At 46.9% G+C, this 10,195-nt stretch overlaps 1 protein-coding gene across 1 annotated transcript in view, besides 1 other annotated feature; it reads right to left on the bottom strand.

The window, feature by feature from the left end:
- Positions 2,473–3,061: an enhancer, noted in NCBI's record as "OCT4-NANOG hESC enhancer chr6:160532738-160533326 (GRCh37/hg19 assembly coordinates)". NCBI's record gives its function as "activates a minimal SCP1, AML or CMV promoter by ChIP-STARR-seq in naive H9 embryonic stem cells {active_cell/tissue: H9 hESC(naive)}" and the evidence as "EXISTENCE:reporter gene assay evidence [ECO:0000049][PMID:30033119]".
- Positions 3,263–10,195, bottom strand: part of IGF2R (insulin like growth factor 2 receptor) — a 142,423-nt gene continuing 135,490 nt past the window's right edge. Inside the window, exon 48 of the mRNA NM_000876.4 lies at positions 3,263–10,093. Coding sequence (NP_000867.3) covers positions 9,683–10,093 — 411 coding nt within the window. The 3' untranslated portion in view covers positions 3,263–9,682. The remainder of the gene's footprint in view (positions 10,094–10,195) is intronic.

The following is a 10,195-nucleotide window of genomic DNA, read 5'->3' as shown; positions in this document are numbered from 1 at the left end:
CCGGGCAATGAGGGGCTTAGCACCCGGGCCAGCAGCTGCGGAGGGTGTACCGGGTCCCCCAGCAGTGCCAGCCCACCGGCGCTGCGCTCGATTTCTCGCCGGGCCTTAGCTGCCTTCCCGCCGGGAAGGGCTCAGGACCTGCAGCCGGCCATGCCTGAGGCTCCCACCCCCTCCCTGGGCTCCTGTGCGGCCTGAGCCTCCCGGATGAGCACCACCCCCTGCTCCACGGAGCCCAGTCCCATCGACCACCCAAGGGCTGAGGAGTGCGGGCGCATGGCAGCTCCACCTGCAGCCCCGGTGTGGGATCCACTGGGTGAAGCCAGCTGGGCTCCTGAGTCTGGTGGGGAAATGGAGAACCTTTATGTTGCTCAGGGATTGTAAATACACCAATCGGCACTCTGTCTCTAGCTCAAGGTTTGTAAACACACCAGTCAGCACCCTGTGTCTAGCTCAGGGTTTGTGAATGCACCAATGGACACTCTGTATCTAGTTACTCTGGTGGGGCCTTGGAGAACCTTTGTGTCCACACTCTGTATCTAGCTAATCTGGTGGGGACGTGGAGAACCTTTGTGTCTAGCTCTGGGATTGTAAACGCACCAATCAGCGCCCTGTCAAAACAGACCACTCAGCTCTACCAATCAGCAGGATGTGGGTGGGGCCAGATAAGAGAATAAAAGCAGGCTGCCCTAGTCAGCAGTGGTAACCCGCTCGGGTCCCCTTCCACACTGTGGAAGCTTTGTTATTTCGCTCTTTGCAATAAATCTTGCTACTGCTCACTCTTTGGGTCCACACTGCTTTTAAGAGCTGTAACACTCACCGCGAAGGTCTGCAGCTTCACTCCTGAGCCAGCGAGACCACGAATCCACCAGAAGGAAGAAACTCCGAACACATCCCAACATCAGAAGGAACAAACTCCAGACTCGCCACCTTAAGAGCTGTAACACTCACCGCGAGGGTCCGCGGCTTCATTCTTGAAGTCAGTGAGACCAAGAACCCACCAATTCCGGACACACCATGGCATGGACACTTGTGATAGGAAGAGAAATGCTCATGCCTTCCTACACGGAACTTTGTAAAGAAGGAAAAAATCCTATTCTGTGTACTCTTCTAAGTTTTCTGCTGGGGCCCCTATAAAAAAAAATTAAAAGATTAATAAGAGAAAAACAAGTTTCTAGCATGTACATCTCATATAGACATGAGAGAAATTCAGGAAACAGCAATTGAAAGATAGGCTTCACGCTCTGGCATACGTACCATCTTCACTAAGAACAATTTATTTGTAGAGAAATGCTGGGACACAGGAAAGTGACTTCAAGCTTCCAGAGACGGCGCTGCAGGAAGGCGTCTGCACCAAGTGGAAAGGTTGGGGTAGAGAAGGCGAGTTAGTGAGGATGGTTACGTGAACACCTCTGCTGCCATCTCCAAGCTGAGCGGTGTCTGGAGCTGTCTTTGTGATTAACTCTTGTTCAGAGAGGGAAGGAGAGACACTTTTGAAAAATGTATGTCTTGCTTTTAGGCAAATACATTTGCTGCTTCTTAACTGCCTCCAGTGCCAAATAATCCTTAGGCTAAAGTAGCATGTTGCAGGTCAGCATGTTCTGGCTTCCTTCAGCTCCGATGGGAGGAATCATGACATGGGGTTCTGCGTACTCTCCCAGAGGCACAGGGCCTTGGGGAGTGCCCAGCATGTATGTGCGCGCATCGTGTGACTGGCAGTGGGAAGGTTGCTGAGTGTGTCTGGGCTAGTTTGCTTAGGCTGCCATAAAGTACCATGGACTGTGTAGTTTAAACAATTTGTGTTCTCATACTTCTGGAGGCTGGGAGTTTGAGATCCAGGTGTGGGCAGGTTTGCTTTCTTCTGAGGCCTCTCTCCTTGGCTTCCAGTTGGCCATGCCTCTGTGTGAGTCTGCGTCCTAATCTCCTCATCTTATAAAGACACATATATTAAATTACATCCCATTCATATGATCTCATTTTAACTTAATTATCTCTTTAAAGACACTATCTCCAAATAAGGTCACATTCTGAAGTACTGGGGTTAGGAGTTCAACATGTGAATTTTGGGGAATATAGTTCAACCCATAGCAATCTACCTCAGCACCCAAAGGTGGGAGGATAGTGTAGGAACAGGTCAGAAGTGTCCGTTCAATGGCTCCAGTATTTCAGCTGCATCAATGCTAAGGTTAACTTGGAGAATTTGACCTGAAGGAGAGAGAAGTCTGTTGGTGGTGTTAAAATTACAGATCATAACACGACAGAACAGACTCTTTGTGGAAGTAAGATGCCAAATTATAAACATGACCTATGGCCATGCCAGGCAAGAGTTAAGTCAGGCACTTAAAAAATAAACTAGGTTCTAACTGCCACAAAGTTTTGTTTTGTTTTCTTTTTCTCTGGCAGCTAAATAAGCAGGGGCCTGGAGATCAGCAATACGGCAACAATTTCAGCTCACCACCTATGGCCAGATGCAGACTAACTGACCCCCTTCTCCACCAGCTGTAACTACAGCTTTAACAAGAGCCTGATTTCAGGGACTTTCTCCTGGTAAAAGACCACCAAGCATGGACTGGTTGTCTAGTTTGCCCAGGCATGCACTGAGGGCGTTCATGTCCCTGCTTCACCTTTTGACACATAAGTCCTAATTGAAATGCATTTAAATGTTAAGTCTCCACCCCAAAGTGATCATGGGGCGTATGTAACAGGAATGTTTACAATGCATGTGCATGTCCCCCTGTCATGAATATTCATAGCTCCCCCCATCACCTGTTGAATATGTATGCTTGGCCAACCCATTCAGCATAAATTCCTGCCTCATCCTTCCCCGTCTCCAAGTACCTGCCTTTGGTCTCTGCTGGATACACTTCCCAGCCTGCCAGGATGGCGATTTTGCAGGCTGAGACCCTTTACAAGAAATAAAGCTTTCCTTTTCAAATTTATGAACCTCATGATTTTAAACTGACAGGGGACAAAGCTGAGGGGAAGAAGTGGGGACTGCTTCTGGGGAGAATGGGGGCTGGAGTGGCATGTACTGATTTTCTCCTAGCCTTCGTAGTCTTTTGGTTTTCGCTTTTATCCAGCTTTACTGAGGTGTAACGGACAGAAAAATTATGTAGAATAACCTTGAATAACCCAGGGATTAGGAGCACAGACCCCACACACAATCGAAAACCCACATAGAACTTTAACTCCCCTAAAACTTAACAACTAGTATTGCCTACTGTTGACCAGAAGCCTTACCAATAACAGAGTCAATTAACACATATTTTCGATGTTGTATGTATTATATACTGTATTCTTACAATAAAATACAGAAAAAGTTTTAAGAAAATCATGAGGAGAAAATATATTTATTATATATTAAGTGGAAGTGGATCATCATAAAGGTCTTCATCCTTGTCTTTACCCTGAGTAGGCTGAGGAGGAGGAGGAGGAAGTGGGGGGTTGGTCTTGCTGTGCCAAGGGTGCCAGAGGTGGAAGAGGTAGAAGAAGGGGCTGACGCATCGGGTGTAACTTTTACAGAAAAAAAAAACCGCATGTAAGTGGACCCACAGAGTTCAAACCTGTATTGTTCAAGGGTCAATTGTATACTTATGTTGTACAACATGATGTTTTGAGATACTTATCATTACAAAATCATTGCCCCAGTCAAGCTAGTTAAACATATCCATCACCTCAAATAATTTCCTTTTATTTGGAGAGGGGAAAGAACACAAGATCTACTCTCTGAAAATTTTAAATACACAAAGCAGTATCATAGTCACCATGCTGCACAGTGGATCTCCAGAATTCATTCATGTTGCATAGCTGAACCTCTGCACCCTTTCACCAACATCTGCTCACTTCCTGCACCCTCTGGCCTTTGGTAACCACCATTCCACTCTCTGCTTCTGAGTCCAACCTTTTTAGATTCCACATATAAGTGAGATCATCTGGTATTTTTCTTTCTGTGTCTGGCTTATTTCACTTAGCATAATGTTCTCTCAGCTCATCCATGTTGTCACAAATGACAGGATTTCCTTCTTCTGCAAGACTTGGTATTCCACTGTGTGTGTGTATACATACATGCATTTTCTTGATCCATCTTTATTTGTCAGTAGACACTGAGGCTTTTTCCCTATCTTGGCTATTGTGAATAATGCTGCAATGAACAGGGGCTGCAGAGATCTCTTCAAGGTACTGACTTCATTTCTTTTGGATATACACCCAGATGTGGGATTCCTGGTAGCTGTTCTTAATTTTTTCAGGAACTTCCTGTTTTCCATAATGGCTATACCAATTTACATTCTCACCAAAGGTGGACAAGTGTTCGCTTTTCTCCACATCCTCACCCACACTTGTTGTCTTTCGTCTGACAGTAGCCATTCTGGCAGGTGTGAGGCAACGTCTCACTGTGTTTATGATGTGCATTTCCCTGATGATCAGCGATGCTGAGCATTTTTTGATATACCTGTTTGGGCCTCACTGCTCATCAACGGTGTGGTCTCATACAGACCACCCACCCAGCATGCTCCGTGGGAGCCTCTGGAAAACAACAGAACCTCGCCACAGAAGGGAATTTCCCAGTGGATGGTCACAGGCCACCAGCTCCCCCAGGGAACACAGGCAAATGTCTAGGAATTGCTGCCTACCTGGAGGCCTGCTGGCCATTTTCTATTGTGATTTCACGTGTGGTCAGCAACTCTCCTTTAAAGACTCTGAAAGGTCTCACACCAAGAAAAGCTGTTTCACTTCAATTCAGCATTTCCCAAACTTATTAGAGCTCAGGTCCTTTTCATTTTTTGCAAAACATCTGTTAACAACATACAGAACAAGTGTTCCACGGGGCACACTGCGAAAAATGTTTCTATATGACAATCCATACCTATGCCAACGGGATTTTCTAGTTCAAGTATGATTTTGCAGTTAGACCCAAGGGCCCTCTCCCTAATTGTTCCTGAAGAGCTGAGTCCTAAAGCCGCTGGGTGGGGCAGGGCAAATCAGGCACCCTCCCAGAGGTGGGGCGGGTGAGAAGAGTGACCTCATGTGTCAAGGTCATGGAGGTTACAGAAAGGAGAAACTTTCCAGACAGAAGTAAACCAAATGGCACAATGATCACCTGCAACACGTGACCATCACAGGCTCCTCTACTGAAAAGGGCATCATTGTGACAGCTGTCAACACCGAAACAGCACTAAGGCTTAGCTGGCAGTACCGTCCCCACATATTGTGGTTCTGATGGTGGCACCTTAGTCCTGTGAAGGTCCTCATTTGTAGAAATGTCTGGTGATAGGAGGGAACTTAGTCTCAAATGATTCAGGGAAAAAATAGTTCTTTGTTCTGTAAGTTTGAATGTCTACATGTTGTCTCAAAATGTTTTAAAAGAAAGAAAAATAAAACCCTGAAGCCAAGGGTGAGGTCACAAGTCCTTTCTTGAACCTGACTTCCTGCTTCCTTCCAGGGCTCTGTGCTCCACCCTGTCTCTAGCAACCCACCATCACTTCTTGGTTGTCACCGAGGCCAGCATCCCAAGGCTGCTTTCTCTGGGATGGGGCTGAGTGGCACCAGATGACCTCACCTGGGTTGTGAGCCCCTCATTTTCACTCTCCCAGGTGTGACAACCAATAACCCCATTCACTAGATTGTGTTTCCCTCAAACACTGAGCATCAAAACAACATTATCAATTACTTTTTATTCAATTTGTTTTGCAAACTGGTCAAACTACAAGATAGCATAAAAGGTAAAGAAATACAAATAACTGACCATTCACAGCCTACCTTCAGTCTGTCCCTCTTTAAGAAAAAGACCTGGCTGGGCACGGTGGCTCACGCCTGTAATCCCAGCACTTTCGGAGGCCGAGGCAGGTGGATCATGAGGTCAGGAGATCGAGACCATCCTGGCCAACACGGTGAAACCCTGTCGCTATTAAAAATACAAAAATTAGCCGGGCGTGGCAGTGCGTGCCTTTAATCCCAGCTACTAGGGAGGCTGAGGCAGGAGAATCCCTTGAACCCGGGAGGCAGAGATTGCAGTGAGCCGAGATCATGCCACTGCACTCCAGCCTGGCAACAGAGCGAGACTCCATCTCGAAAGAAAGAGAGAAAGAAAAAGAGAGAGAGAGAAAAGGAAAGAAAGAAAGAGGAAAAAGGAAGGAAAGGAAAGGAATGAAAGGAAGGAAACGAAGGAAAGAAAGACCTGACTTCCTCCCAGAGAGAGCCTCGCAGGCAGTCTGAGGCTTCTCAGCTCAGCACAGCCACAGCTCCCATGCCCAACCTCCCATCTGGTTGCTGAAGCGTCTCCATCTCTTTACTTTCATCTAGACTATCTTGCTCAAAAGCCCAATCTGGCCCTCCTACAGCTCTCAACTGCTTTCAGGACTTCAAACTCCTTACTGTGACAGTCACAACAGGCTCCAAGTTCTGGGCTTGCTTCTGCCTTACCTATCCAACACCCCCAGGCCATACTGTCCCCAACTCAATGTGGCTATCTTGCCGCCTTGCACACAAGCTCACCTGCACCACGACTGCCCGTTGACCCCATTCTCACAGAACAATGTCCAGAACTGACAGCAAGTATGGCTCAAGAGGCCAACTACTAGTCAACAGAGTGGAACCGGAGAAGTAAGAAAGGACATGAGTGTACCTCCCTGAGCCATGGGATTCTTCAGAGTCAGTAAAGGATATTTCCAGAAATCCAGTCTCGTCCATACAACCTCCTGGTGACACACACACTGGCTCCTTGTGACCCGATCGCCAACAGGGGTAAGACCTGTGTACCCATCAGTGCTTTAACTTGTACAATGGATCGGACCAGCCCAAAGTGTTCTTTAATCACCAGGTGGCATCTTAGTCGTGTGAAGGTCCTTGTTTGTAGGAATGCCTGGTGATGGGAAGAAACTTCATCTCAAATGATTCAGGGAAAAAGAGTTCTTTGTCCTGTAAGTTCTAATGTCTATATGTTGTCTCCTGTCTGTATGTCTATATGTTCCTTCCTGAGGAATCATCTCGTGTTACGTATTATTTTAGGGTTGGTGAAGTACAGGCTTCAGATGCTCTTAAAATGTTCATAAGAACCAGATTTCCACTTCACTGTGGATTTCCTTGGTGTGGGGTTTGCCTATTCCATCTTTAGCACCCCAGTTCTTATTCTATGTCTCTGTCATTCATGGACAGTCTCAAGAAAGGGGCACAAAAAATTTTGTTGAAAGGAAGCTAAATACCCAGGTTGTACTCCATCAATAAAATCATTTCTCTGAAAAAGAGTCCAATTCTGATTTGCTGTCACGGGATGTTTTCCTAAAAATATCATCTGTAACAACAGCTGGCAAGTAGTTACTCTTTTTTCAGAGGCTTGGGTTTCTAAGAGTCAAAGCAAATGCACTCAAACGTGTTGTCACTTCTCCTTCCCCACTGACAGCGACATTAGCAGGCAGCCAGTGGTGCAGACAACATGCCTTTTTGCCATCCAGCTTACCAAGGGGATGGGCAGGTCCCTGCATATGCCCCTCCTTACAGAGAGGGCTCCCCATGGTCTTAGCAGGAGGTGGGAATGGCCTGGAGAACAGCCCCCTGGGTAGAATGCCTGAGGACCAGCATCTTTCTTTGGTCATAATGTAAACTTTTAGAAGACCTGACATGTCTTCCTCAGGAGAGGTATTGGAAAGTCCTTAAGAATAACTTTTTTAAAAAGGTAACTCCAATTGGATAATTTAAAAATGAGACGGTTGAGGTTTTTGGACTCTACAGGAAAAAAAAAGGGATGGAGAATAGGATGTTGAGTCTAAGAAGTTTGTTTATAACACTGGAGTAACTTCCTGCTTCCATGCAGGTAGCTCTCAGTCACTGCTGAGTAATTTAAGATGGAAAACTCAGTGAGTTTACTCAAGAGAAAACATCTCCATGTTAGATCAGGTTGCACAAAAAAAAGCTTTATTGACTCACTGGACTCTAAACTCCATGTTCATTGTTTTGATGAACAGGACCACACCCCGAGGTTGGCCTGGAGAAGGTAAAGAAATCGGATCTAGAAAGAGCCAAGGGAAGGCAGATTGGACCCAAAGTTAACACCTACGACCAGGAGACTCTGGAGAAAAATGAAAGTGCTGCCTCATAAAGGGTCAACGAGAACACCAGAGTTAAAACCCAAATTCAGTCACTTAACAGAAAGAAAAGACAGGCAGGCAGATGGGTAACTCGCTCGGGAACGTCTCACTATCAAGGAAAAAATGGTAACACCCAATTAATAATTTATCTTTTATTGAAATTGTTGAATACTTTATATTACAGTAAAGTTGATTGAAAAAAAAATGAAGAGAAAAATCAATTTTAAAAAATACACTCATGTTGAAATCAAACAAGCCAGCCAAACCGGTACAGGCTGAGGGATGCTGCAGGGCGGTTTGCTTCTCAGCAATAGAACACCAGAGTCTATATACAATTCTACAATGCGAGAAAAGTCATTCACTAAACATGGCAGGAAAGGCGCTGCCGCCAGAATAAGAACACCAGCAGCGCCTCCCTCCTCCTCCATGCTGTGACCGCCCGGCCTCCCTCCTCCTCCACGCCATGCCCGCCTGGCCTCCCTCCTCCTCCGCGCTGTACCCGCCCAGCCTCCCTCCAGCATGAGGCCAAGTGCAATGCTAGGGCCGAGGCTCTGGCCCATGATTTTTCATGCAGTTTCTGTAAGTCACACACTGTGCAAATTAAGGCTTCTTATAGGTCGAATGGTTGATCAACACTTTTTTCTTAAAAAAATAAGCACAGTAAAGGTGGTATCATGAGAACCTGAAGAGATGAGACCTATACCCCAAATCTGGAAAAAATTCATTTTCTCTGACACCTCAACTCCACTCACACACACACACACACACACACACACACACACAAACACACAAATCAATCTTTGGGCAGGTTGTTTGAATTCACCAGCCGGCAAAAATACTGACAAATGTGCTCTGTACGCCCAGGCTTGAAGATATCATGCAAAAAGGTGCAGCCATTCCTGACTAAAGGCATAGAACAGGCAAACTCTCCAAAACCTAGGCACTCGGGGACCCTGTGCACGTATGTGTGTGTGTGCTCGCACGCACGTGTGTGTGCCCTTAAGAAACAGAAAGCAAAAGAGAAAAGAGACAGAATGAGCTCCAACTCAGGGGACACATTAATGACCAGTTCAACATCCCGCCGGAAGCTGCCCCATACACTGACAGCCTCACCATCTCAAGATGGACAAACTGGTACATCACACCCCTGCTGGCAGGAAGAAACGGTGGCTGTTTTTTTTTCCTTTTTCTCAAACCTGAGTAATTGTCAAAGTCAATAAATAGGGGGAGAGAATTAAAATGCTAAAATATATCGGGGTCAAATACCCTATCGGGACTAAAGCAGCAAGGGTTTCTTCGAATGCAGCCCTCTGTTTTGAGATGCGTCCGGCCTTATGCTTTTAAATGAGGACTTGGGGCAAAACCCTGGGCACAAGGTACCGCCCTGTGGCCGATCTGAGCCATGCCTTATTCCAATGACTGTAAACAATCAGGAAGGAGTGGGGCCTGACCTCCTTCACCCTCTCCCCCATCACAAAAACTCTTCCCTTTTGAAAGTTTCTGTTAAAGGCAAAATTATAGAAGCATCATCGAGTGGAAGTCTTATTTGGTTGGAGGTGCTTGGCTGTCCCGCGGCTCCGTGCTCCCCTGCAGGCACTGCGGAGTCAGATGTGTAAGAGGTCCTCGTCGCTGTCGTCATGGAAGGACACCAGCTTGGTGGAGCTCACTGTCTTCTGCTGTGCAGAGCTGGACTTCCCTTTCCTCGCCTTCTCACCCCTGACCAGCCCCACCCTATCGTCCTCACGCTCCTGAAGGGCATTGCTCTGTGCGTTTCTCACTGGGTGGGAGCTCTCTGCCCCAGCTCCCCTGCCCGAGTGAACTTTCACCTCTGGGATGGTCAGAACCTCATCCTCACTGTCCTGGTCATCCCCATGCAGGGAGCTGAGGGCTTTCACTGACTTGGTGGTAATATGGCCGTTCTCCTGCCCTTCCTTTCCCTGCCGTGGAGGAGGCAGCTGGATCTCTTCCATCAGCCACTCTGTTTCATTCTCATCTGTCTCTTCTTCCTTATTCACCTGCCAGGGATCAACAGCAGAGACCACGTGAGCCCCCTAAGAGACCCCATTCTGCTCCACCATCCACCACATCAGGGATGCTCTCTGCTGGCACGAGCTGGG

The sequence above is a fragment of the Homo sapiens genome, chromosome 6, assembly GCF_000001405.40.
Source record: "Homo sapiens chromosome 6, GRCh38.p14 Primary Assembly".
Lineage (NCBI taxonomy): Eukaryota > Metazoa > Chordata > Mammalia > Primates > Hominidae > Homo > Homo sapiens.
The sequence above is the reverse complement of the archived record's forward strand: the minus strand, read 5'-3'. Positions and strand labels throughout refer to the sequence as shown.